Genomic DNA, 27,622 nt, shown 5'->3' with positions numbered 1-27,622 from the left:
GGGAGAATATATGCTTTTCTCAAATAAAAAAATGTTAAAAAGATAAATAAAATTGATAGACCATCAGCAAGATTAACCAAGAAGAGAGAACATTCAAATAACCTCAATAAGAAACGAAATGAGAGATATTACAACTGATACCACAGAAATACAAAAGATCATTCAAAGCTACTATGAACACCTTTACACACATAAACTAGAAAAACTGGAAGAGATGTATAAATTCCTGGAAAAATACAACCCTCCTAGCTTAAATCAGGAAGAATTAGATACCCTTATCCGACCATTTACAAGCAGCAAGATTGAAATGGTAATTAAAAAATTACCAACACATAAAAATTCAGGACCAGATGGATTTACAGCAGAAATCTACCAGACATTCAAAGAAGAATTGATATCAATCCTTTTGACACTATTCCACAAGATAAAGAGGGAACCCCCAAATTAATTCTATGAATCCAGCATCACCCTAATATCAAAACCAAGAAAAGACATAACCAAAAAAGAAAACTAGTTTTGGGTTGATGAACATGGATGCTAAAATCTTTATCAAAATACTAGCTAACCAAATCCAACAACATATCCAAAAGATAATCCACAATCGTCAAGTGAGTTTCATACCAGGGATGCAGATATGGCTTAACATATGCAAGTCAATAAATGTGATACGCCACATAAACAGAATTAAAAACAATAATCACATGATCATCTCAATAGATGCAGAAAAGACATTTGACAAAATCTAGCATCCCTTTATGATTAAAACCTCAGCAAAACTGGCATACGAGGGACACACCTCAATGTAATAAAAGCCATCTATGACAAACCCAAAGGCAAAATCATACTGAAAGGGGAAGAGTTGAAAGCATTCCCTCTGAAAACTAGAACAGACAAGAATGCCCACTCTCACTCCTCCTCTTCAACATAGTACTGGAAGTCCTAACCAGAGCAATCAGACAAGAGAAAGAAGTAAAGGGCATCCAAATCGGTAAAGAAGAAGTCAAACTGTCACTGTTTTATGACGATATGATCGTTTACCTTGAAAACCCTAAAGACTCCTCCAGAAAGCCCCTAGAACTGATAAAAAGAATTCAGCAAAGTTTAGGATACAAGATTAATGTAAACAAATCAGTAGATCTTATATACACCAACAGTGACAAAGCAGAGAATCAAATCAAGAAATCAATCCCTTTTACAATAGCTGAAAAAAAACACAAAAACCTTAGGAATATACCTAACCAAGGAGGTGAAAGACCTCTACAAGGAAAACTAGAAAACACTGCTAAAAAAAATCAAGGATGACACAAACAAATGGAAACACATTCCATGCTCATGGATGGGTAGAATCAATATTTTGAAAATGACCACACTGCCAAAAGTAATTTACAAATTAAGTACTATACCCCTCAAAATACCACTATCATTCTTCACAGAATTAGAAAAAACAATTCTAAAATTCATATGGAACCAAAAAAAGAGCCTGCATACACAAAGCAAGACTAAGAAAAAAGAATAAATCTGGAGGCATCACACTACCTGATTTCAAACTATACTATAAGGTCATAGTCACAGAAACAGTGGGATACTGGTATAAAAATAGGCACATAGACTAATGGAACAGAATAGAGAACCCAGAAATAAACCCAAATACTTAATGATCTTGGACAAAGCAAACAAAAACATAAAGTGGGGAAAGAACACCATTTTCAACAAATGGTGCTAGGGTAATTGGCTAGCCACACGTAAGAGAATAAAACTAGATCCTCATCTCTCACTTTATACAAAAATCAACTAAAGATTAATTAAGGACTTAAATCTAAGACCTGAAGCTACAAAAATTATAGAAGATAACATTGGAAAAACCCTTCTAGACATTGGCTTAGGCAAGGATTTCATGACCAAGAACCCAAAAGCAAATGCAATAAAAACAAAGATAATCCTGGCTAACATGGTGAAACCCTGTCTCTACTAAAAATACAAAAAATTAGCCATGTGTGGTGGCAGGCACCTGTAGTCCCAGCTACTCGGGAGGCTGAGGCAGGAGAATGGCATGAACCCAGGAGGAGGAACTTGCAGTGAGCCAAGATTGTGCCACTACACTCCAGCCTGGGAGACAGAGCTAGACTTCGTCTGGAAAAACAAACAAACAAACAAACAACAACAACAACAAAAAGATAAATAGCTGGGACCTAATTTAAAGAGCTTTTGCACGGCAACAGGAACCATCAGTAAAGTCAACAGACAACCCATAGAGTCAGAGAAAACCTTCACAATCTATACATCTGACAAAGGACTAATATCCAGAATCTACAGTGAGCTTAAACAAATCAGCAAGGAAAAAACCAAAAATCCCATAAAAAAAGTGGGCTAAGGACATGAATAGACAATTCTCCAAAGAAGATATACAAATGGCCAACAAACATATGAAAAAATGCTCAACATCACTAATGATCAGGGAAATGCAAATCAAAACCACAATGAGATACCACATTACTCTTGAAAGAATGGCCATAATCAAAAAATAAAAATAAAAAAATCATAGATGTTGGCATGGATGCAGTGATCAGGGAACATTCTACACTGCTGTTGGGAATGTAAATTAGTACAGCCACTGTGGAAAACAGTGTGGAGATTTCTTAAAGAACTAAAAGTAGAACTACTATTTGATCCAGCAATCATACTACTGGGTATCCACCCACAGGAAAGGAAGTCATCATATGAAAAAGACATTTGCACATGCATGTTTATAGCAGCACAATTCACAATTGCAAAATCGTGGAACCAACCCAAATGCCCATCAATCAATGAGTGGATAAAGAAACTATGGTATAGATATATGATGGAACACTTCTCAGTCATAAAAAAGAAAGAATTAACGGCATTCACAGCCACCTGGATGAGACTGGAGACTATTACTCTAAGTGAAGTAACTCAGGAATGGAAAAGTAGACATCATATGTTCTCACCAATACGTCAGAGCTAAGCTATGAGGATGCAAAGGCATGAGAATGATACAATGGACTTTGGGGACTTGGGGGGAAGGGAAGGAGGGGGGCAAGGGATAAAAGACTACAAATAGGGTGCAGTGCACACTGCTCGGGTGATGGATGCATCAAAATTTCAGAAATCACCACTAAAGAACTTACTCATGTAACCAAACACCACTTGTTCCTCAAAAACCTATGGAAATCAATTTTAGCAGAATTTTTGTTGTCCTGATAGGGCTCTTTTCAAACTGATGTCTTATCCTTCTTAGCGCCTCAAACTAGATTCTGTTCAAAGATATTTTAAAAAGTCCGTATAAGTTCATCGGTGCAAAAATTTTGAAAATCCAAGCATAGCTGTTTTCATAATACACATTGTCAACAACCTTTCAAAGTCCCGTTGTATAAGACGTGAGTCTTTATGGCCTAATGAGGCCTCAGATCAGGCATGGACTGGGGTGTGGCTAATTTTAAGTAAATATTAGATGAATTTTGTGTGGGCTGCAGGGGAATTGCTTCCCTTGAGCTGTGACTTCTCCCTGTCTTCCCACATCAGCATTTCATCCTGTTCCCCTAACCCCATCTCCAGTCAAAGCTTACACATCCAGACTCCAGAATGTAGAGAAAAGAATATGAATTTGCGAGAGGCACGTGCCAGAGCGGAACGGTGCTTGGTTGTTTTATAAACCCTGTGATCTTTATGGGTCACTTGCCAAGTCTTTTTGGACACTTATCTGCAGAACCTGGAAAGCCTCATCAGAAAATGCCAGCCAGCATCCTGGCCTATCTGGAGGATGGGTGTTTCTGGCAGGGCTGGCCAGCTTAGGAAATAACCTGAGGAAACAGAGTCCTCTCCTCTTTTCCTTCTGTTGGTCCCAGAGCCAGGTCGCCTTTGCTGTTTTAGGGCAGCTTTGCCCCCTTCTCTTCTGTGACCTTCGCTATCCCAGGATCTGTGATGGAGAGTTACCTTCACAGTGGGGCTCTTTCTTTATACCCTGCTTTTCAGCAATGATGGCAAGATGGGGCTTCCCCTCCCCCTTCTTTTCTGTTATTGTCTGGTTCCAGTAGTGGCTGTCCTCAGCAAGGGTGACCCTACTCCCTCTCAGGTTCCCAGATCCCCAGGGCTCCTGCCTTACCCTCTCCCATGACTGAGAGTCAGGTTCCAGGAGGTTCCAGCCCCGACCCATCTTGTGTGATATTGAATGTAAGACCCAGAAAGGGGGTGGGCATCCCACTCTCTGCTGAAGTTGATTTCACTTTTAGGCACAAAAAGTCCTTCTTTTTGTTCCTCCTATGACATCACCCACGTCCCTTGGAAGGCCACTGGGTTATGTCTCCAGTGCCATTTTCCTTTCTGTGAAATGGAAAGAATCATATGGCCACCTGTTCCCCAGGGGGATCCAGAGGAGGGCAAGCCAGAAGGTTAAAAATGCAGCAGTAAGAAAGGCTAGTGCAGGGGAGGCACCTTCCATAGATGCTGTCCCTTTCTAGGGTGCTTTGGATTGAGAAGCCATTTCCTAGCGTGGAGAAAACTCCTCCATGAGATATCACTAACTGGAGAAAGAGACAGGAAGAACCTCTGTGTATAAATCTGAAGGCCAAATCTTTCTCATTTTCTGCTGCACCAAGCATTGACACCCATTTCCCTTTAGCCTGAGTCGGGCCTCCATCTGGCTGCAGCACAGCTCGCCCATCCATGGCTTATTTTCAGACCCAGGATCTTTCTCTGACTCCTACTCAGGTTTGAATGCCAGTTCTCTCGCTCCCCAGGTGTTTAAATGTAAGAGCTGTGTCTACTTTTACATTACTTCAGTTTTTATGTCTGTAAAGTAGGGGTGCTAATACCTATATCAAGGTGTTATTGTGAAGCTAAAATTAAATAATGCCACTGGATATTGGTTCTATCATGGTCTAGAGAATTTATCCTAAGAAAAATAAAATATTTATGTACAAAAATGTTCATCAAGGTATAGTTTATTAGAGGGAATAATTGAAGGTGATCTAAGTGTTTAGCAGTAGAGGATTTGTCAAGTCAGTATTGGCACATCACGTTAGAGGATACCAGGCTATGGTCCCTCCAAATGGCAGTGCAGGCATATTTTCAATGTCATGGAAGGGTATTCACAAGATATCACTACATTTTCAGAAAGCAGATGTAGAGCGTATTCTTTAGCAAGGCATTTGGTGGAGGCGCCATGTTAGCCACACTTGCCAGTTTTCCTACTCACGACTCTCCCCGGGAATGTCTACTCCTGCTCACTTCCCTAGTGGCCAGGTTTGTGTCAGGGACCCTGTTCGAGCCACATTGATAAAACCAGGAATGGAGAGCTGAGCAGAGCTGGGCCAGTTAGATTCTTTCTTTTGAGAATAGAAACAAAGGGTCCCGGCACACAGCCAGTGCTGTGCACAAATGCTTTTGCATTAGGACAACTCAGGGAGGGAGGCCACGCTGTGCCATGAACCAGCAAGAGATGTTCTGCAGCAGGGACACTAGAATAGGGGCAGTGGAGAGAAAAGGCCCAGCAGCCCAGGGAGAGGCAGAGTGAGAGATGAGAGAGAATGAGAATGGCCACGTGGGGATCAGTCATTACCATGAAGCTCAGCTGCATCTCCTAGCCCTTGTCACCTAGAGACACCTCTGTGTCCCTCTGAGAAAATCCCTTCTTTTTCTTGCTTAACATCATTTCTGTTCTTTGCAATCAAATAAGTATTGACAAGAATATGTTCTCCACAGGTGCTGGAGAGGATGTGGAGAAATAGGAACACTTTTACACTGTTGGTGGGACTGTAAACTAGTTCAACCATTGTGGAATACAGTGTGGTGATTCCTCAAGGATCTAGAACTAGAAATACCATTTGACCCAGACATCCCGTTACTGGGTATATACCCAAAGGATTATAAATCATGCTACTATAAAGACACATGCACACATATGTTTATTGCAGCACTATTCACTATAGCAAAGACTTGGAACCAACCCAAATGTCCATCAATGATAGACTGGATTAAGAAAATGTGGCACATATACACCATGGAATACTATGCAGCCATAAAAAATGATGAGTTCATGATATTTGTAAGGACATGGATGAAGCTGGAAACCATCATTCTCAGCAAACTATGGCAAGGACAAAAAACCAAGCACCACATGTTCTCACTCATAGGTGGGAATTGAACAATGAGAACACTTGGACACAGAAAGGGGAACATCACACACCGGGGCCTGTCGTGGGGTTGGGGGAGCAGGGAGAGATAGCATTAGGAGATATACCTAATGTAAATGATGAGTTAATGGGTACAGCACACCAACATGGCACATGGATACATATGTAACAAACATGCACATTGTGCACATGTACCCTAGAACTTAAGGTATAATTTAAAAAAAGGTTGTTGCTACTTGAAGCTATTTCAGATAATTTAAATTATGTTTTGAAACTTCTTAGTATTTTCTATTCTTTTGATAATGATCATTCAAGTATTGTTGTTTTTAAAAAATATCAATGGTAAGTTCCACCACCATTTGTATTTGTAAATAGATTGGTGGCTTTTTATTTTAGTATATATAAAGTGGAACTTTAACTTACCAGCAATTTCACTCGGAGGTTTTTACCCAAGAGAAAGGACAACATGTCTACAAGAAGACTTGTCCTTATGTGCTTGCAGCAGCTTAATTCAGCCAGCGGCCCTAGACTGAAATCAGCCCCCGTGGCCATTTGAGTGAATAAATAAACTGTGATGCATCCATACAATGGAGTATTACTCATCAATAACAAAGAATGAAGTAGTTATTCACAAAACACTGTAACTGATCCAAAGAAGCCAGACAAAAGAAAAACATCCCAACTGAGCCCATCCAAGGAAGGCCTGGGAAAAATTCTATGGCTGAAGATGGGACCTTCTGCAGGGCTTTTCCTGGGATGACCCAGTTTCGTTGTCTCCTGTGTGCTGCCACATTCACACACTGATGCCAAGATCTGCTTTGTTTTGTCTTTGGTGGGGAAAGGCTGTGATAGCTAGTCATGCCAGATGTTTTCTGCTTATACCTCTCAATTAGTGTTTTTTGTTTGTTTGTTTTTTTGTTTGTTTTTGAGACAGAGTCTTGCTTTGTCACCCAGGCTGGAGTACAGTGGTACGATCTTGGCTTACTGCAACCCCCGCCTTCTGGTTCAAGCGATTCTCCTGCCTCAGCCTCCCAAGTATCTGGGATTACAGGCGCCCATCACCATGCCCGGCTAATTTTTGTAATTTTAGTTGATACAGGGTTTCACCATATTGGCCAGGCTGGTGTTGAACTCCTGACCTCAAGTGATCCACTCGCCTCAGCCTCCCAAAGTGCTGGGATTACAGGCACGAGTCACCGTGCCCGGCCATCAATTAGTGTTTTCTAACATTTAAGTTTCTAAAAATTAAAGCCAGGTAGAATAAATGGTTGTGGAAATCTCACAAGAGTGCTCTCACACACAGATCTTACCTTTCTGCACGATGCCACCTGCCCACCTTCCCTCCTTGGCCCTTTTCTCTCTGTGGCAGACCTGGCCGTGTCCCGCCCATCCTCCCAGGGCTCTGCCCAACTTCCCAGGACCTGCTGGTGTAGTCATTCTGGTTCCTAAAGGCTCTTCCCAGAGCCACTGGGGCTGTGCCACCCACACTGCAGGTGCCTGGAAGTGCAGGAAACAAGCATCCCGGGAGGAGCTCCTGGCCAAGGCCCGAGCCAGCTGCTCAGAGCACACCAGCTCCCTTGCCCTGCCCAGGATGCCTCTGAGGCCCGGGGTTTGCCCAGTCTCCTAGAGCCTCTATGCAAGCATTAAGCTCCGTTGCCCACCTAGTAATGCTGGCTTGACAGAGCTCCATTCCATGGCACCATTATCCCCACTTCCCTCCTGGAGATCCCTGAACCTTCTAAATAGGTGGGAGTCAATGACTTGGATTTGAGTGAACCTAAACCAAAGCAAGCCCTGCATTAATTTTCTAAAGCATGTCTCACTGTGCTATGCCCTGGATCAAACACCTCAAGGGTTTTCTTGCTACTTCTAGGAAAAAGAGGGGACCCTTTGTTTGATGCTAAGACTTTCTTTATCTGTCCCAAGATTCCTTACCAACCTCACCTGTCTTTGATGCCTACATCATATCCACACCCTGTGTGCTCTGGGGCCCCCCGAGCCCCTTGGGCTGCAGCCGGCGCCTGCACTGATGCACACTCAGTCTGTCAACAAAAATGCAGGCTCTCAGCTGAGTGGACCTGGCTCCAGGGCAGATCCTTATGAGGCCTACTCTGATTTCCCAGAATGAAGCTCCTGGTGACTTTGCTGTGCTTCCAGAGCTTTCAGCTCAACCCTATAGAAGGACATGCGTGCATGGGGTATTGTTTGCGGGCTCACATGGGAGTCCCCTCCACCCACTGATGGTGAGCACCGTATTCACTGGGATATGGTCCCGATCTTCACAAATTCCTGTTGATCACTAAACTGGGTTGACTGTCAATAACATTTTGTTAAGGGAAGAAATCAGTAAATGGATGGATTTTGTTAAAGGAAGAATAAGTAAATGGATGGGTTTGTGTCCCCTTTCCTATCCACTCTCCGTGGAGGAGATGGCAAGAACTTTTTGCAAAACAACTCAGTCCTTTCATCGCTTGCTTGGACGTGGCTTGTCACCACACTGGTGCGTCAGCAGCACCTGCGAGGGGTGCTGTGATGTGGCCCCTGGGCAGCTCTCTGCAGGCATCTCCCATGGCACTCCTGGCATTGCCCCTCTTGGCCACACCCACCTTCTCTCTTTTGTTTGCACACTCAGCTTCTCCAGTCTCTAAGGATCTTTGGACTCCCTGCCCTCCTCACCCACAGGGCCGTGCTTGAAGTCTTTGCAGCTGGTCACATGGTAAGGACAGTTCCCAGCACAGAGGTGACTCTCTTTTTTGCCCTGCCTCAACCACCCGCCTACCCCGAGATGCTGAGACCTTCCCTATGTGCTCCTGCACTGGAGCTAAGCTCCTTCCTTGCTGAGGCTCGCGCATTATTCGAATTCCCCACTAGAGCGCATGCTCTGCTGGCCTCTGCCCAAGAGTGGGACCCGCAGCCCCGCTCCCAACGTGGGATCAGCCCAGCCTCCCCCAGGAGATGATTTCTCCTCTCTGGGAAAGGCCACCCCACAATTTGATCTGATGAGAAACCTCACAGTTCTTTCCCCTCAAAGACTCAGAGGGCTATAAAGGCAGTTAAAAGTAATTTTAAAAAGCTTTTTGGCTGGGCGCAGTGGCTCAAGCCTGTAATCCCAGCACTTTGGGAAGCCAAGATGGGTGGATCACCTGAGGTCAGGAGTTTGAGACCAGCCTGACCAACATGGTAAAACCCCATCTCTACTAAAAATACAAAAATTAGCTGGGCGTGGTGGCGTGTGCCTATAATCTCAGCTACTCCAGAGGCTCACTGAGGCAGGAGAATCGCTTGAACTGGGAGGCAGAGCCTGCAGTGAGCTGAGATTGTGCCATTGCACTCCAGCCTGGGCAATGAGAGGAATGCCTCTTTAAAAAAATGCTTTTTGAGGCTGAAAATTACACTGAGGAAAGGTGCAGAGAGAAGGAAAGGCCTGGACACAGAAGTGGAAAATGGAGTGGGACGAGGAGGGGACAGGGCCACATGGCAGGGAGTGTGGGAGGAGGGAGAGCGGCTAGGGTGGCCGCACTTCCTGAGTGAAAGACAAGGCCACAGGTGCTCATTTTGGCCAGTGGGGTGGATAAAGGAATCATCTTTGTTTATCGGATATTTCGGGAATGTGTGTTCTTTTTCTCGCAGCTGATAGAGGCCTTTTCCCTGGACACATCCCAAATGGATATAACCGGCAGAAAACCCTTGGAGCAGCCAGTGTCCCAGGTCCCCCACGGCCGCCACACAGCCCTGAGCTCCATCTGGGAGAGGAGGAGGCTGGCCAGCTCTCAGCCCTGCGGGAGCGTGAATAACCCTGGCAAGGGACACACTTCTGGAAGGCGAAGTGCCCATTCGAGGCCCCCAGCCGCTTTGTTGCATGTCCGGCAGCTCACTGTGCAGTCCCAGCCAGCTGCAGCTCAGCACAGCCTGCGAGCCCAGCCTGCCTATGGCTGCACTGTGTCTCCAGGACGGACTTTGGAATCAACCGGTTTACGTTTCCTTTCCCTCCCTTCTTACTGTTCTGCCACCAGACAGCCCCAGAAAGCTGGAGGCAGAACCAAAAAAGTTATAAATACTGCAGAATCTACGGGTGGGTAGGTGGACCCTGCGGCCCTCAGAGGCCCAGAAACCTAACTGAGCTCCTGCTCCCACAGCCTGCCTGTCATCAGCTGCAACTGCTCTACCTACAGGTGCAACTGAACTAAAGCTAGAGAAAATTTTAGGATTCTCCAAGCCAGGGATCTCCAGCACTGTCACACATTAATGAATCACTTGCATTAAATGAAGATGCCCAGGCTGCACCCCGGGCCCGAGACACCAGAATCTTTGTGCTTGGGGTTTGCACATCAACATTTTGCAAAGCTTGCCGGGTGATTCTGGCATGTGGACAAGGCTGAGGCACATGGCTTTGCAGAGAAGAACTAAAATTGCCATCAAGGTGCAATTTTCAGGACATCCATTCATCCAGCGGTCCCACGCACATCACCTTTCATGTGCCTCTCTGGCCCACCATTCTGCCTCCATCCTTGTCCAGGGCCAGATGCTCTCCCCCAGGCTGCAGAAGGGGTTTCCTCTTTGGTTTTGTACTCTGCTCTGCTGGCCCTCTGTGACCGTCCCATCTCATCCTCACATCTGTCTTCCCAAAGGTAGATGGCAATATCTGACCATGTGGCCACTATGTGTTGAATGAATAAATAGATTTTTGTACCTGCTCTGGTGGGAAGATGCTCCCGAGATGCTCCCACCCTGACCACCCCTGCAGGTCCTCCAGTTTCCAGATATCTCATTTTGAACCCGTCCTGATGCCCACAGGGCTCTGTTTAGCAGTCGTAGCTTTAGCTCCCAGGGGTCTCTTTATGTTCCCTCCCTGGGGCTGCTGGCCTGGGATTGTAGGAAGTGTCACTGTTGCCTCCTTCACAGCTGTCAACCACGGGGTCAGCAGGGGCTGTAACCCTTTTCCAAGGAGGATACTGCCCTCACCACAGTTCCAAAGGTGAAAGCCCAACATGTTCATCCAGATGCTGTTTGTAGCTCACAGGCCTGGGCTGCAGATGAAGCAAGCTCCACTTGGCAAGTGCAGCCACTGAGTGCTGGCCTGTGCAGGCTGCTTGCTATCTGTGTGCACCGTCCCTCTCTGTCCCCGGTGTAGGAGGACACCTGCCCAAGGCTGGCTGGGCCTGCCTCCTGCTCTCCTCAGACAGCTCCTTCCTCATTGGGAGAGATGAGGAGAGAGGAGGTTGGCCAGTCAGGTCTTGGGGAGAGACCCTGCAGAGTGCTTCAGATCCCTGCGGCCCAGTTCCAGGATGTGCGGGACCTGGCCAGCAGAAGGCACGGGACTTACATCTTGGAGTCAGAATGGGACCTTGCTGCTAGAATCTTCCCTTTTTGGGGTATAGGGAGCCAAAGGGAAGGAGGGGCCTGGTGGGAGCCCCTCCAACCCAGGGAAGCAGAAGCTGGGGTGTCCCTAACGGAATTTTATAGCATTGGCTTCCTCCAGGAGAGGGCGTGCCCCCAAGCAGGACCCTCTGAACTGGGTGCCCAGACCAACCCTCTGCTGTGCTTCTACCATCAGTCCTGGCGCAGCCCCAGGCCCCTCTGTCCAGTGCCAACCAGGGTCCATCTGGATGACACATCTATCCATGCATCCTGGAAGCCAGGAGCGCTCTTAGGCCTCGAGAGGAGCCCTCTCTACGGAGCACATGTCTGCAGCGAGCGTAGGGGTGGGGGAGCAGCTGCCCCGGCGTTCTCATTTCCGTGTTGACGCAGTCACTGAGTACCTTACAACACACTGGGCACAGTGCCAGGTACTCAGTGAACCCAAGTGTTAAGGCCCAGCCCTCATGCAGTGTGCTGTCTGGTGGGGAGACAGATATTTAATACGTCATTGCATGACTTACTCTAAATTATATCACAAATGTAATGAGCACAATGAGAAAAAAGGTGCTATGAGGGAGAATACCTGGGGGTCCCTCCTCCTCTGGGGGATTGGGGGCTGCTCCAAGGAGAACCTGCTCCTTTGAATGTGAGATGCCAGGGCTTGGCCTTCCCTGGCTTCAACCACACTCATCCCAAAGTTAACACCTCTGTGTGCCAACTATCCCTGTGGCTAGAGGCGTCTGGCCTCTCTTCTCCCTGGTGGGAAATTGTGTCCATCTCCCAGGGCCTAAGTTGAGACCCTTTTCTGCTGTGGAGCTGCCTTTGCTGTTCCATTCCACACAGCTGCAGCCATTTCAACTCCAGGAGGCTACTTTGAACCCAATTTTTACATTTCCCCTGCTATTTTCTAGTAATGTCATATATGTTACTCTGCTTTCTGCAAATGCGAGGTGAACTGAGGAAGGGGTTCCCCGTTGGAGGGTGTCAGTGCCTCCGGGTTTATCCAGTCACTCAACTCATGTATTGGGTTCCTGCTATGCACCAGCCCAACAGTGTGTCCAGGACTACAGCGGTGAGCCTGTGTGGGAGGAAATGGGGAAGCAGCCAGGAAGGCTGGGGAGCCATCGTCTCAGCCCGGGGCCACAGCCGCTGCACCCCACCCCCAACAGCTAGGAAGGCTGGGGAGCCATCGTTTCAGCCCGGGGCCACAGCCGCTGCGCCCCTCCACAGTGGAGGATCTGCTCCAGGGCCCTGCACTCGCACAGCAGTTTCCTGTGCTCGCATGCTAGTGTGGCTCAAGAACTTTCAGATTGCACACTCATACTTTACTCAGCTCTGTCAGGATCCCTGGGTCTGCACAGAATGTCAGTCCTGACTTGTGAAAAGCAGGCTAGGGGGATGGAGCCTCAGCATGCCTAAGCCAGGCCTCCTGGGGGAGCTGGGGCTGGCTCCTGCGGCCTCCTGGGCTCACCTTGCTGCCTTGTCTTGCCTCAGCCTCTCCCTCTGCCCACACCTCGAGGTGCCAGCCGAGGTTCCTAGAGGCAGGAGTGGCCCAGAGGCGATCCGAAACCCCACGGACGCTTACTTGGTGGCACAGCCTCCTCTGAGAGTTTCCACAAGCAAGGACCCTGGTGTGTTCCACCACCGACCCTGAGGCCTGTGAGGAAACCCAGGGCTGGACTCCAGGCTGCTCAGTGTGGGAGAGTCTCAGAGAACTCCAGAGGGTGACACTCACACCCGACAAGGAGACATTGCCCTGTGTATGTGTTGGGGGCTGGGGGGGAGTTGGGCTGTCAGCGGAGATGCCCTTGGGTGGCACCCGTCCATATGGGCTTTTCTTTTCAGAAGTCTGCAGAGCTGGGTCTGGAAGCTAGGGCAGCAACATGATTTAGCAACACAGAAAATAATATTTCTGCCAAGAGCCATACCACCCTGAACATGCCCCATCTCAGCAGATCTCAGAAGCTCAGCAGGGTCTGGCCTGGTTAGTACCTTGATGGGAGACTGAGACTATCAGGTGCTATAGGCTTAAAAAAAAATTCCAGTTTCTCCCTGCTCTAAACCCCTGCTCTTCATTTCCTGACCATTGCCTAAGGACCCATTCAGAGGACTGGAAACCTCTGAATGAGTCTCAGCCTCTCCCTTGCTTGCTCCTAAGGAGAGCTGGGTGTTAGCCAGCCAAGTCTGGGGTGCAGAAACTGTTGAGAGGACGAAGACAGGCAGGGTGGGCGGAGACAGGAAGGGAAGGAGATTCCTGCTTCTTGGATCAGCTTCTGAGCCCTCTTTTGTTTTGAAGAATTCAGGTAATGGGTAAATAGGGAGAAAACTTTACAGTCCATGTAAAATGCTGATAGAGCACAGACAGAAGATGAAAATAGGAAAGACTCAAAAGCTGGAAGTGATGTGAATGTTTGCCATTTCAAGTGAAAGGCTACCGAGTTTTGGAAGAATAAGAAAATAAATAAAACATAATTTTAAGAAGTGTTGCTCTGGTTTTTAAATTGAATCCCTTTTAGCATTCTTCCAGACACCTGAGTGAAAACTGAAACTAACCATAGATGCCTTTTGTTTTAGCCTGGTGCTGCTTTGACAGTGACTCTGTGTATAGCCTGGACCACATGAAGCCCAATTTATATTTCGGTTACACACACACAGGTGCACGCACACACACTATAGAAATACATCTCAGAAATGTACTCTTAAGGGGACAACTGAAATGATTCATTGCACCATGGAAATGTATTCGTTCATCTGTTAAGCAGCCGTGTCTATCTCACTGATGGATTAAGGTCCAGTTTCATTCTGTATGCTGACTCCTTCATTCCCTCCTCCTTGGCAAAGCATTTTACTTCAGCTAGCTTCAAAGGGTGTCACACCCAGGGTAAAGAAATAAGTCTCCTCTCTGCTTTAAATTTCACAATGAACCCTGCTATAGAAATCATAAAAAGAGTTGCTTTTCTCATCTGCTGCAGCCAGCCCCAAAGTACATCCAGCCATATCAAATTAAAGCTGCTTACCAGAGACCATGTCAGCTCTGGGTGAAAGTAGTGCAGAAGAAGCATTGCTGAACTTCCTGGAACTTGTGGACAGAACATCTGCCAGGGCAGCTGGGAGCTGAAGGACCAAGAAAATTAAAACCCAGTGACAAGATGAATGAGGATCCCTTGCTCCCATGTTGTGTCTAATTACCCAGAGGAAAAGCCAACAATGGGTACTGTAAATTGTCCTTGGAAAACAATCCTGGGAGTGGTTCTGCCCTTCTGTGTCCCCAGCCAAGCTTCCCCACCCACCCCACCCCCAGGCTGGCTCCACCAGCCTCCTTCTAAGGAGCACTTCAAGTGTGCTCCATCCTGCTCCACACCCCCGGGTGCCACTTCCTCTGCTTTTCCTCTCCCTAAATGAGGCCTCACCCCCTTCCTGTTTTCTGGGTCACTAATGACTTCAACTCAGGGAAGGGAAATGTTATCTTGAGCCCTTTCCTTTGTCTTCACCTTCACTATTTGGCTTAGCTGTAGATCTAACGATACATGAGGGGAAGAACCACTTTGGGTGCTTGAAAATGGGGTACAAGGAACCAGTGACTGACTCTGGTGCTTGTTGGGCGGTTCCACCAGGTGCTGGGACCCTTGTCTTCAAGTCCAGCTTGCACCGGTGGCAAGGGGCAGAAATGATGTCCCAGGGCAAAGTACCAGAATAAAAATCACGTGCACACACAGGCTTTGGTCAGTTGTAAGGAGACAGCAGCTTAATAGCTTCCAGCCTTCAATACAAAAATAAAGCTCTGTGAAAAATATAATGAATAAAGTGTGATTCCTATTTTTAGGTTACAATTCTTCTTTAAAACACAAATATGGCCAATGGCAAATGTTGGACACCCATGCAATGTGCTTGTCTTAAATTCTTGGATGCCATGTTTATGTACTTATCCCAAAATGTCAGCACCAGCTCAATGTATGTTTTCTAAAATTGCTTCTGTGTCTTTTAGAGGATTACAATACCTGATTTCTTATCCCATGAAACACAGCTGGGGGTAGCGATCAGAGAAGGGCTCTGGTCCAGTGGCTTGATGTCCTCCATTGAGGAGGGGATGGAGATGGACCCTCCCTCGTCGTGATGCATGGAAGCAAGGTGAATCCCTGCACGGCTGGGTTAGAGGTATTCAAAAGGCCCATAGGAGCACTTGATCTTTTCTCTACTGCTCTCTTGACCTGAGCTTTCCTCCTCAGCATGGAGAAATGGGCTGGAAGAAGTTTCTAAGGGCAAGATGAGGCCATAAAGGACTCCTCCTTCCTGAATCTCTTTGGATCAGCACAAGTGCCTTTCCCCCAGAGCAAATATTTTAGCATATTCTTAAAAGAGAAGATGCTCCCGGATCAGTGGAGGTGCAAGTCAGCAGGGTAGAAGGTGCTTTTCTGGGCATCAGCTGTGATTTTTTGACTATGAATAATGAAAGACACACAATGCAAACCACTTTGCTTTCTCTGAATCTCATTTAATCTGCTTGACGATACTAGGAGGAAGCTGGGAGTTAATCTCCCCACATTTTTGAGACTGAGTCTCAGAGAAGTGAAATGACTTGCCCAAATTAACACTCACTTAGTAAATATTTATGGATTATCTACTGAGTACCAAGCACTTGTTTCAGCCATGGGTTTATGGAGATAAAAAGAAGAGGGGTCCCTTGTCCTCCTGGCACCTACAGCCTGCACCCAGGGCTGCCTGAGAATGGGAAGATGTGAGCTGCTAATCACAGAGTGGAACTGGGAGCAAAAATAACATTTCTCTGGGCATCATGTTTGAGATGAACTGAGTTGCCCTTCAGAGACCTGCTGCCTCATCTGGATGCATATTGGAGAGAAAGATCAGCTCCCCACCCCTGGAGGGGCTCGGTGCTGTGAGTCACAGCCGGCCCAGCTCACCGTGTTGAACAGAATTGCCCTACGTGAGTAGCAGTATTTAGAGAATCAGAGCACAGTGAAATCGGCTCAGCTCCATGACCGGAGGGAAAATTGCCCAACCCTTGGAAGACTCAGAAGACACTAGGAGGCCGGGCGCGGTGGCTCACGCGTGTAATCCCAGCACTTTGGGAGGCGGAGGCGGGCAGATCATGAGGTCAGGAGATCGAGACCATCTGGCTAACACGGTGAAACCCCGTCTCTACTAAAACTACAAAAAAAATTGGCCGGGCGTGGTGGTGGGCGCCTGTAGTCCCAGCTACTTGGGAGGCTGAGGCAGGAGAATGGCGTGAACCTGGGAGGCAGAGCTTGCAGTGAGCCAAGATCGTGCCGCTGGACTCCAGCCTGGGGGACAGAGCCAGACTCGATCATAAAAAAAAAAAAAAAAAAAAAAAAAGGCACTAGGGGAGTTCACAGGGCTTTGGGGAAGATTAAATAATGTATATGAAACAGTTTTTAAAGAGAGGATTAAAACATTCTTCCAGTGCAATTTATATTCTCCTGTTTTCTAAAAAGACTCAAGACAAATTATAATAAAATAAGTAGAAAAAGTAGGATACATAAAGATAAAGATTAAAAGTACATAACATGCCCTGAAGGAGAAGAAAGACAAAGTCATAAGATAAACTCTACTTTAATGAAGGTTGCTGACTCAAGCATGTAGTTCCTATCTGAGCCCCCTGGCAGCCATGGGAAAAGGTGAAGCGCCATGAGTTACATGACTTTTATCCAAGGTTGTAAAGACGTGTACTTCCCTCTGTCCCAGATGCTGGGAGGTGTCCTCCCCTGTATAAATGAAATGAAAATAGACATGGTCCTCAATAGCTTTTGATTTAACTAGAAATAATGTCATGTGGTCATGTATCCTAGCCAAGTATTATTTTTAAGAGCCTTGAATTCCAGTGATTTCTGGGCTTGAGGCCTGCTAAAATTTTGGCTGATAGGCCCTGCAGGGATGTGGAGAAACTGTTTTTGGGCACTATGTGCCACAGCCGGGTCACCCTGACCACAGTCCCCAAAAACAGTCGGGGGATTCCACTGTGGCCAAAGTCCTGAAACGTGGTCTCCATACACCTTTCAGGGCCACTGTCGAAGCTCCTCAACCTCGCCTGTGCCTCGATGTCTTTGGCTATCCTCTCTTTCTGGGATGATTCTGCTGCCCTGCCATGCTGTACACCCTCATGTCACCCTCAGCACCTCCCTGCTGCCCGAGCACCCCCCAGCTTCAGGCATTCCTAAAGTCATAGCTGGGATCCTGGCCTATGTACCCCCTGACCCCCAGCCAGGTGACCCGGGACAAATGCTAAGAAAGGGAAAAACAAAGATGTCATATTAAATGACTGTGAAAGTTTCCTTTCAGCTCTCATGCCCCTGTTAGGATCAGTGACTCCTGACAGGTGGAGAACCACCTCTATGAAAGGTTTTCATTTCGATAAGGATACTTGGTCAGGCTTCTGTCATAGTCCAGTGATGGGGCTGAGACTTTCACATTTTCATCGAACCCTGGCCAATGTGTATTTGGCGATGGCCTTGCTCATGACAAAAGGACCCTGCCTGGCTGCTCCCAACAGTTGGAAAACCACATAGTGTGAGTCATCTCCACCCCGCTATGACTTCTGCAAGGCTCAGCCTGAGTCAAATGACATGCAATCAGGGAGCAAGCTGGGGCCGGGGGACAGGGAAATGATCCAGATGACCCTACTGTGACCCTCACCCCTCAACCCAGAGTGCCCAACTGAACACTCTCCATGCCGTCTGATGAAATCTTTATGGTATTGATGGCAGAGTAGACACTCTCAGGAGCAATCCTGGGCCTTTAAAGGGGAGAGCTCCTTGGAGAAACCCTCCCTTCAGTGGGGGCTTTGCAGGCAGGTTCTTGGCCATGCAGTGCCTGATGGGAAAGTGTACATTAAAGAGCTCTGTCTCCCTAAGGCTGCAAAGTCCAAAGTCCAGGGAAGAGCACAAAAATTACCAAGGTGTTAAGACCTTCCTTCCTTCCTTCCTTTCTCTTTCTTTTTCTTTCTTTCTTTCTTTCTTTCTTTCTTTCTTTCTTTCTTTCTTTCTTTCTTTCTTTCTTTCTTTCTTCTTTCTTTCCTTCTTTTTTCTTTCTTTCCTTCTTTCTTTCTTTTTCCTTTCCTTCTCTCCTTCTTTTCTCTTTCTTTGTTTTTCCTTTTTCTCTCCTTTCTTTCTTTCTTTCTTTCTTTCTCTTTCATTTCTTTCTCTCCTTCCTTTCTTTCTTTTTTCTTTCTTTCTTTTCTTTCTTCCTTCCTTCCTCTTTCCTTCTTTCTTTCTCTCTCTCCTTCCTTCCTTCCTTCCTCTCTTTCTCTCTTTCTCTTTCTCTCTCTTTTCCTTCCCTTCCTCCCCTCCCCTTCCCTTCCCTTGCTTTCCTTCCTCTTTTGTGCTGCAGGGCAAAATTTACTTCTGCAGAAGGGTGCTGCCTGCATCAATCATGACTGCAAAAGCACACAGAACAACGGAGAGTAGCGGTTTTTATTCCTAACGCAGATTCTACCTCTGTGTCTTTCCCCCATTGACTGGGGTTGGACCACACAATCTAAACTAGTCCTGATTGGCTAAACATTCAAACTTTCTTAGATAAGGTAGGCACGTGATAGAAGAGCCAGGAAGAGGAGGAAAGGGTCATCTGAGGGGGGACTAGAAAGCTAACCTATTCCCACATAAGGGAAGGAATGTGGACTGGGGCTTCTCATGTCTAGGCATGTTTAGACAGGTTACTGCACAGCAAAAGCCGGGGCAGGGGGAGGTGGCGGGTTACTCCGAATTTAGAGAATAAAGAACAGGGGAACTGGACAAACTGAAGAAGAACCTAGCTTTATCTAACACCTTCTTTTTCTCTTTTTTTCTTTCTTTCTTTTTCTTTCCTTCCTTCCTTCCTTCCATCCTCCTTCCCTCCCTCCCTTTCTCCCTCCCTCCCTCCCTTCTTTCTTTCTTTCTCTCTCTCTGTCTCTCTTTCTTTTGCTTTCTTTCTTTTTCTTTCTTTCTTTCTTTCTTTCTTTCTTTCTTTCTTTCTTTCTTTCTTTCTTTCTTCCTTTTCTCTCCTTTCTTTCTTTCTTTCTTTCTTTCTTTCTTTCTTTCTTTCTTTCTTTCTTTCTTTCTTTCTTTTCTCTCTTTCTCTCTTTCAGAAACAGGCTGGAGTGCAGTGGCGCAATCATAGCTCACTGTAACCTGGAACTCCTGGGCTCAAGCAACCCTTCTGCCTCGCCTTCTAAAGTGCAAGGTTACAAACATGAGCCACTGTGGCTGGCTGTGAACTTCTTTCACAGAAACACATTCCCAACTATTGTTGTGAAGTGGGCAGGGAGTGTGGAAAGAAAGGGCTGCCTGCTCTCCTCCCTGCTGGGTGTGAAAATCGTAGAGGACCAGGTATCTGATTGGAAACTCTGATCTGGATGCCACCAATGGACTTGTTTTTAAACTTCATTGTCTTTCAGCATCTGGGAGTTTGGCCTTCCAAACCTTGTTAGAGCTGAGTCCAGAGGGAATGGGACTGGCACAATGGACAGATTTCTGTTTTTCATTTCAATTCAGCAAGCTTGTCCTGATACAACAGTCACTCCTCCTTGGGTCTCTTAATTCCCATCCTTACCTGCAGCAGTTCAGATGAGGAGTACACTTTCAAGTCCAAGGGTTTAAATGAGATGACCTCTGTTAGAGACTAAATTCTGTCTCCCCTAAAATTCCTGTGTTGAAGCCTTGACTCCTGGTACCTCAGAATGGGACTGTATTGTAGATAGGGCCTTTAGAGTGGTGACTAAGGTAAAATGAGGTCATTGGGCTGGGTCTTAATCCAATCTCAGTGGTATCTTTAACAATAAGAGGAGATTAGGATCCAGACACACAGGAAGGGCCCTGTGAGGACACAGAGAGAAGATGGACGTTGGCAAGCTGAGGAGGGAGGCCTCAGAAGAAACCCACCCTGCTGGCACCTGGATCTCAGACTTCTGGCCTCCAGAATTGTGAGGAAATCAAGGCCTGTAGTTGAAGCCACACAGTCTACCCAGCAGCCCTAGCAGTCGCACACAACCTCTAACATGAGGAGTGGATGTGGGTGCGTGGCCTGCACTGGGGTTCTGGCCTCTCAGGGCATGGGCTGAGCATGGGAGAGCTGTCCACTGATGGTGAAACTGTTTCTCAGTTAGAGGGCCTTTTTCTCCTCTGGGAAGGGGAGAATGTCAGCCTGCTGTTTCTGAAGACCTCTCCCCTGATCTTGCGGTGCCAGGCTCTGTCTGACTTGCTTTGAGGAGATTTGCTCACCTGTCCTCTGTCAGACCTGGGTGGAAGAAGGAAAGTTCAGAGCTGATGTCAGCACCGATTCACCTAAAGCACTGAGGGGCTTCGCAGATTTCTGTCTGATACCTACTGGGAGTGGACAGAATACAGGCTTGGGGTGGGGGCTCTGCTTGTTTCTCCTAATACGGTGATAGAATAAGGAAGGCATTCTGCTAATGTCTAAGCTGTTCCTAAAAGACCATTTTAACCGCCTTAACACTGAAAATGCTTTGCACCATTCACGTTGAAGGCTAATGGTGAACAGGGTAGCAACAGGTAATATTTTTTTTCACTTTAAAGGAAGAAAGAAACACAATTTCTAGGAGGTAGTTATGTTCATCATTGCATTTTTTTAAGATTATCCATGAAAATTTTAATAGCATTCTAATTCTAACATAGCCTTCAAGATGAACACAATTGACATTTTTCATCTATGGGGAAATGAAAATTATAACACAACCTAGAAAACCAGTGCCGCCGATGGCCCATGATTCTTCTTCTGTCACTTTGAGGTTGGGATGCCACCTTTGGAGATGCCTTGAGAGAGACTGTGGCAGTGCGGTGGATCTGGGGAAGTCTCCTCCCACCCCTCAGATCCAATAAGCTCCCAGGCACATCCTCTTCCCAATCCAACTTCCAAAGAGAAATCCTAGACACTGCCCAAGGCTCTGAGTTTAGTTCTAAGTACATGTCCATTTTACTTTTTTTCCCAAAATAATAATTTACCATTCACTGAAGATTGCTTATATATGAACCAAATGCTTACATTTTATTCTTAATTGAAAACAGAAATTGGCCCAACCATTACTTAAGTGGGATATGATTAATGCTTATCAGCTAAGCATTAATATCCCCCAAAGCTCGATGCTGAAGCTGTTAGTCAGCTCACAGCTCACAAGGTCCTGTGCTTGGAGAAGGTGGCTGGAGCTGGCTCAGTCGGCTCTTCCTCCATCGTGCGGCCCTGTCCCCGGGGAGGCATAGGCGTCAGGGTGAGCCCATGATGCAGAGCCGGTGCTTCTGAGCAACAGTTGCTATTTTTAGCTGGTCTTAGCTAAGTGACCTCGCAGCAGGTCAGGCTGGAGAGTGGACCCTGAGCCCTTCAGATAGGAGAATGACATCAGTGAGTGACACAGTGCAGCTGCAGGCGAGAAATACAGGGTGTTCCTAATGCCAGTGCTTCCTGTATGAGGAGGCACTTGCTTCCTGTAGGAGGAGGCACCAACAGATGCTGTTTGGTGGCACTTGGCACATAAAGAGATACTTCCCAAAGATAAAACCCTGGCCAGGAGCTTTAAGACTATAATAAAACTGTAAGATTGTTAAGTAGTCAAGATGAAAAATGATCTTTTCCTAGTATTTTTATGGTCCCTCAGAACGAGTGGGCCCCTGATAACACCGCTGCCTCCTGCTGCCCGGGCTGGGTCTTCATTGCCTCCTTGATGGAAACTCGGGTGTTGCTGTGGAATTGAGATGCTGTAAACACAGGATCCAGTGATGGCTTTCGGTGTGCATGCTGCCCTGTTGCCTTCCACTGTGTGAGTCAGGGCAGGTCTGTGACCCACATGCTGTGGTGGAAGGGACCTGGGCCTGTGGCTGTAGAAGGCCTGGCCACCTCCTACAGATAGAGCTCCTATTTGTGCTCTGGGAGTGCTGAGCTGCCATGTAATTAAAAAGTCCACATGGAGAGGCCACGAAGAGAGGCAGAGACCCTGAGATGACGCTGAGGGTCCTGGCTGAGTGCAGCCTCCTGGCCGTTCCCCAAAGCACTGGGCCTCTGAATGAGCCATGCTTGGTGTCTCACCCCATTTAAGCCCCCCTGTGACGACGCCACACAGTCACATCAAGCACAGCAGAAGGACCACACACTCAACCCATGGTAGGGAAGAAGAATAAACTGCTGTTTTAAGCCACTAAGTTTTGAGGTGGCTTACTTCACAGCAAGAAAAAATGGAGACTATTACAGATGAAACAAAGTCAAGCCTAGGGCCAAGTCGAGCATCATGGCCAGCACAATCACAGTCAGCCTAACTATCCTGCCTGTTCATGCTGGCTTAGGACATGTGACAGTTCCAACCCCCAGCAAGGGGCGGGTAAGTTCCTGGGTCAAACAAAAGGTGAGGTCAGGTCAGCAGGGGTCTAGGCAGGTAGCTCTCATGAGGGTAACGGATTTCCTCCACCCACCAGGATTCCGGCAGGCACAAAGGCCCAGGGCATGATCCCGCTGGGTAAGGAGTTTCAGGGGAGACCTCCAGAGGCCCAGCCTCCCTGGTCTTGGGAGGCCCCCACAGCAAGGGAGGGCCCTCTCTCATGCCCAGTGCCTAAGAAGCAAGGGTCAATTCCTAAGAGTTCTCAGTGGCCACTGCAGAGAGCAAGGCAGAGGCAGGGTGCCTGGAGTGTGTGTGAGATTCCTCCATGGTCAGCACCATCCTTTTTCTCTAACTGAGCAGCCTTCAAGAGTTGAGCCACAGGAAGCTTCAGGGCTGCCTCTGTCCTCCCTGGCCCCAGCAGGGAGTAGGGAAGACTCTGGCCTGACGGGGAGGAAAGGGCAGCAGCTTCTCTGCACCCCGTGAAGGATGTCTCTTTCACTGTGCAGAAAAGAGAGTGGTTTCACTGTGCTCTACTCACAGGAACGGGCCCCTCTTCCTCCTGGGGCAGCCTATGGGAAGAGGGGCAGGCACCTGCCACCCACTGGCTGTCATGGCACCAGAAGGTCACACTCCAGTGGCAGGAGAACGATGGGCACTGCCCCATCCCTCTCTTAGCTTCAAGGCCTGCCCTGGGTGTGAGGGGCAGTACACTGCTGATGGTGCTGGCCCAGTAGCATTGTGCATCCCATGCAGCCCAGCCCTGGCATACAAGCCTGGCACACAGGCACCAGACCTAGCTGCTTCTCCAGTCACCTGCTTGCCTGCTGTGGGGCCTCAGGGCACACTCTGCCCTCACCCATTTTAGGAGCTGCCTCTTCCTCAAAGCCTTCTGAGTCCTCCCCTTCCCTTATGGGTGAGCCCCTCCCTGCCCCTGAGATCTCTGGGGGCACCTGTGCGACTTCTTCCCGAGGTGCCCTATACAACCCCTTGCCTAGTAGATTCAGCTGTGTTTTCTCAGACACCACAAAAGGCTTGTGCATTCTCTCGGGAGCCAGCCCTGGCGGCCTGGCAGGAGGAGCTTGGAGCTCTGTGTGCTGAGGAATCTGGAGCTCGCCCAGGCTCAGGTGCAGGGTTCCATGACAGGCTAACCATGCCTGCTGGGGAGCAGGGGGCACAGCGGAGGGTCAGGCTTTGGGAATCCATGTCCCAGGCCATCGTCACAGCTACACAGCTTTCTTCTTTCCACTTCTCCCTCAGATTTTCTAGCCTTTAAATAGGGTTCCTACAGATGAAGAGAAATGTCCCAGATAGAAACCCCACTGCGGAAAGTGATCCCCTCCCTCTGGGAAATAGAATCTCTGAAGAGGATCTTAGGCAGGATGGCACGCTGTGAGTTCAATCAGCTTTCTCAAGTGTGGATCTCAGGTGAAAACCAGGCCAATTCTCACCACACATCAGGGTCTAGGCTCCGTTTCCTGGCAGTGAGTCAGAGGGGTGACCCGAGGCTAAAGGCAGGATGGCACCTGGTCTAAAAATGGCCATGGTTAATCCTCAGGGTAGCAGCAATGGCATTTTTTGAAGAGTCAGGCCAGGGTAAATAAACTCTTGAGATGTAAATGTTTAGTCTTCTTTATTTCTGCCCATCTTGAGCAGAGCCGGGCCCTAAGCTCTGAGCAGGTTTAAATTCGCACAAGTGATAGGTCCCCCCTGGAGATCCTGCATCCCAGGTGCACTCAGCCCTGGCCTACAGTTCTCCTACAAAAGGCTTGTTCCTAGAGGACATTCACACATCAGAGGGAGAGTTAAGCAACATCATTTATTTGACTCTTCACTCACTTAGCAAACTTCGACTGAGAGAAGAAATTGAGTTTGTTTGGGAGCTGGTCCCAGGGAGCAGGAGGAAGAGGAAGAGTCAGACAGGGAGGAGGCAACACAGGGTGTGTTTCTGGGCCTTTGAAAGCACGCAGATTGCCTCTCAGAATTGTCCCTCTGAAGGACGAGGCCATATGCACTAGCTCCTACCTTGGGGACACTGGTGCCCTCCCCCAAATACCCTTCAGGTGGTGCCTGCACTCAGGCTGAGGAGGAGGATGTCACGGTGTAGGTGCAGGGAAGGGTGCTATCAGGAAGCACAGCTGTGTCCACCACAGCTGGGGGCCACGGGCCTGCACCTCCACACAGGTGTTGGCTGCTGCAGCCTGGGATGGTCCTCTCTCTCCAGCCCCAGGTCCCTGTGGCTGGGCCATAGGAGTCGCTCAGAAGACTTCATCCCAAACTCACAACTACCATCCTCATCTGAACCTTTGGAAGTCATGAAAATGTGGAAGCACTGGCTGGAAGTTAGCAAGCAGGTTATTATCGAGGCAATGGCTTATGCCGTCTTCCTGGGACCTCCATGTGGAGGAAGCCGGGGCTGCAGCAAGACCTCTGTCTTCGCCCTCGCTGTGGGTCTTGGATCTCACCAGAGCAGGAATCCTTTCAGACCATGGTTTCCTGGCTTATTTGTTTTGTAAAAAATCTGCTAAAGAGGGACTAAGAAGATGTGAAAGCCACATCCACGTATTTTAAAAGTTGCACATATTTTAAAAGTTGCACATAGAACAGGGAGGAGCTTGTCCTGTGTATCCCAGAGGATAAAGCTAGGGACAAGGGTGCTCTGTGTGTGTATGTGTGTGTGTGTGTGTGTGTGTGTGTGTTGTTTTGTTTGTGGTTCTCTGTGTCATCCCCATAGGATTTGAGAATGAGGGGAAGTAAAGGAAAACAAAGGAACACTTTAGATTGTCCTCTTGAAAACTCATGGATTTCCAAGCACTGTGCTAGAAGCTGCCACATCAGCATCTTCTGGGAACTTGTTAGAAAGGGAAATTCTTGGGCCCACCTCAAACCCACTGATTCTCATACATGCTCAGGTATGAGAATCACTCTTCTAAATATAGGAAAAGATCTTTCTAACAGATATCATTGACCAAAGTTGCAGTGCCTTTCCTCATGAGGTGGTGAGTGCTACTCTTCTGGAAGCATTCAAGAGAAGGAGTAACCATTAGTCACGCATGTTGCAAAGGAAGTGAACACAACAGGTACAGAGTTCAACTGAAGTCACTTCCTTGGTTGCTCAGTATTTTAGCAAACATTTACTGACCAGCAGTACTGGGCACTGTTCACAGTGACAGGCGACAGGAATAGAAATCCACAGAAGCTCCCCGTTCTTGCCTGCTCCGAAGACTGAAGTCCAGCAGTCTCTCATGCTGTGGGCCCAGACACTGCTCTCTGTCTTGACTGCCAAACCCTGGCTGGCCAAGTGACGATTCACCATCCTTACAACATACTCCAGTCACTGAAGATTCCCCACGGAACCACCACCTTCCTGCTCAGGCCTCTTCATCTATCCAACAGGAGGAGGGGAAAGAGACCATTGACCCAGGACTGCCCTGGCGTGCATGAAGCCCTGAGTGAGGGCTGTGGCAACTTCCCGGCCTGCACACACTGCTGCTGCTTTCTTGGTGCCTATGAGTCATGCCTTGTCACCCGTGTGACATTAATCACTCAGTGGGACTCAGAAATCCAGCAGATGAATTCTGAAACTGAGTTGGGGAGGAGGCCAAATGTCTCATCGTGAGATGAGTCCCAGGGTACAGTCTCGGACAGATGAATATTCTAGATTACAAGGCTTAGCACTTTAACCAGAGAATAAATACAGACTGTGGTTGTTTCCATGTATTTAAAAAAAGTAAATTATGACACAAGTGATGCACATTTGTTCGGGGAAAGTTACAGTACAGATGGGCAAAACCAAAGAAAAAAGTGCATCAGTTCCCCTAAACTCCACCACCCAGAAACAATTGCTATTAACAGGAGGACGTGGTTTACTTCCAATGCTTTTCTGGGCACATATGTAAGTGTGTGTGTGTGGCAGTGCAACCGTGGAATCGCATTGTAAGACTTGACCCTAACACAGCTTTCCATTTAAAGTATATTGTGAATACGTTTCTACGTCAATACATTTAAATGATCAATTTTAAAGCTATCTAGCCCTCTACTGGCATCAATGCAAATTTTCCTCAGATTGTATCACGTTTAAAAAGTTTTTCTAAGATACACCACACACTCTCCTGCCTTCCCTTCCTGTTTTCTAATCCAAGTACAGAAACATGACATTGCTTGTTTCTAGGTGCCTTGGGGTCGCTGTTATTCAGTGAACCCCTCAGGATGTAAAGTTTCAATAAAGAAGCAGTTTGGTAGAGACAAAAGAGCTCCAGATTAGAAATCAGGATAGCTCTGGGCCCCTGTGCACTCAGGCTCCACATGGTTATGCACAGAACCTTCAGAACCTTCAGATTCATCACTAGCAGGATGGGTCCAGGGCGTGGGTCTTTGCTATGAGATCACCTTAGGTACCTCTGGAGGAGCTGGTCACACCAGTGATAACCCTTTGGAGAGGAGAAAGTCAATGGAGGAGGAGAAGACATGCCTCAGAATCACACCCCAGTTGTTGCTTGAAGTGTGGTCAAGGAGCTGCTTATCTCCACCCACACCTCCTCCTGGACACACAAAGGATATACATTCCTGGGCCCAGTTCAGCTCTTCCAAATTGGAACCTTTGTGGGTGAAGCACAAATAACATGCTTTTAAACAAGTACCCCTGAAGTTTGTCACAGAAAGTTGAGCTCATTGCTCCACTCCTAAAATGTCATTTCTCTTAAACATCTGAAACGGTTCTGCTCGGAGAGGCCACCTGTTGACCACTTGCTTGGCTGCTTGGCCTCGTAGGGCAGGGGGCAAGCAG

General features: G+C 47.5%; 1 long non-coding RNA gene and 1 pseudogene across 2 annotated transcripts in view, besides 4 other annotated features; one reads left to right on the top strand and one right to left on the bottom strand.

Moving 5' to 3' along the window:
• LINC03125 (long intergenic non-protein coding RNA 3125) overlaps window positions 1-26,290 on the bottom strand; it is a 42,205-nt gene extending 15,915 nt beyond the window's left edge. For both annotated transcript variants that reach the window (NR_199692.1, NR_199691.1), the window contains exons 1-2: window positions 25,979-26,290; window positions 14,525-14,621 (exon numbers count right to left, since the gene is read on the bottom strand). This is a non-coding gene — a long non-coding RNA (long intergenic non-protein coding RNA 3125). The remainder of the gene's footprint in view (window positions 1-14,524; window positions 14,622-25,978) is intronic.
• Window positions 12,492-12,541: an enhancer, noted in NCBI's record as "active region_17631". NCBI's record gives its function as "activates an Ori minimal core promoter by ATAC-STARR-seq in GM12878 lymphoblastoid cells {active_cell/tissue: GM12878}" and the evidence as "EXISTENCE:reporter gene assay evidence [ECO:0000049][PMID:35858748]".
• On the top strand, window positions 13,422-13,536 carry RNA5SP478 (RNA, 5S ribosomal pseudogene 478; annotated as a pseudogene).
• Window positions 14,067-14,166: a silencer, noted in NCBI's record as "silent region_12722". NCBI's record gives its function as "represses an Ori minimal core promoter by ATAC-STARR-seq in GM12878 lymphoblastoid cells {active_cell/tissue: GM12878}" and the evidence as "EXISTENCE:reporter gene assay evidence [ECO:0000049][PMID:35858748]".
• Window positions 23,164-24,147: an enhancer, noted in NCBI's record as "H3K4me1 hESC enhancer chr20:23130883-23131866 (GRCh37/hg19 assembly coordinates)". NCBI's record gives its function as "activates a minimal SCP1, AML or CMV promoter by ChIP-STARR-seq in naive H9 embryonic stem cells {active_cell/tissue: H9 hESC(naive)}" and the evidence as "EXISTENCE:reporter gene assay evidence [ECO:0000049][PMID:30033119]".
• Window positions 25,642-26,841: an enhancer, noted in NCBI's record as "CDK7 strongly-dependent group 2 enhancer chr20:23128189-23129388 (GRCh37/hg19 assembly coordinates)". NCBI's record gives its function as "activates an origin of replication core promoter dependent on BRD2, BRD4, P300/CBP, MED14 and CDK7 cofactors, with strong dependence on CDK7, by STARR-seq in HCT116 cells {active_cell/tissue: HCT116}" and the evidence as "EXISTENCE:reporter gene assay evidence [ECO:0000049][PMID:35650434]".

Source organism: Homo sapiens, chromosome 20 (assembly GCF_000001405.40).
Source record: "Homo sapiens chromosome 20, GRCh38.p14 Primary Assembly".
Lineage (NCBI taxonomy): Eukaryota > Metazoa > Chordata > Mammalia > Primates > Hominidae > Homo > Homo sapiens.
Note: the sequence above shows the minus strand (reverse complement) of the source record. Positions and strands in the feature narration are given on the sequence as shown.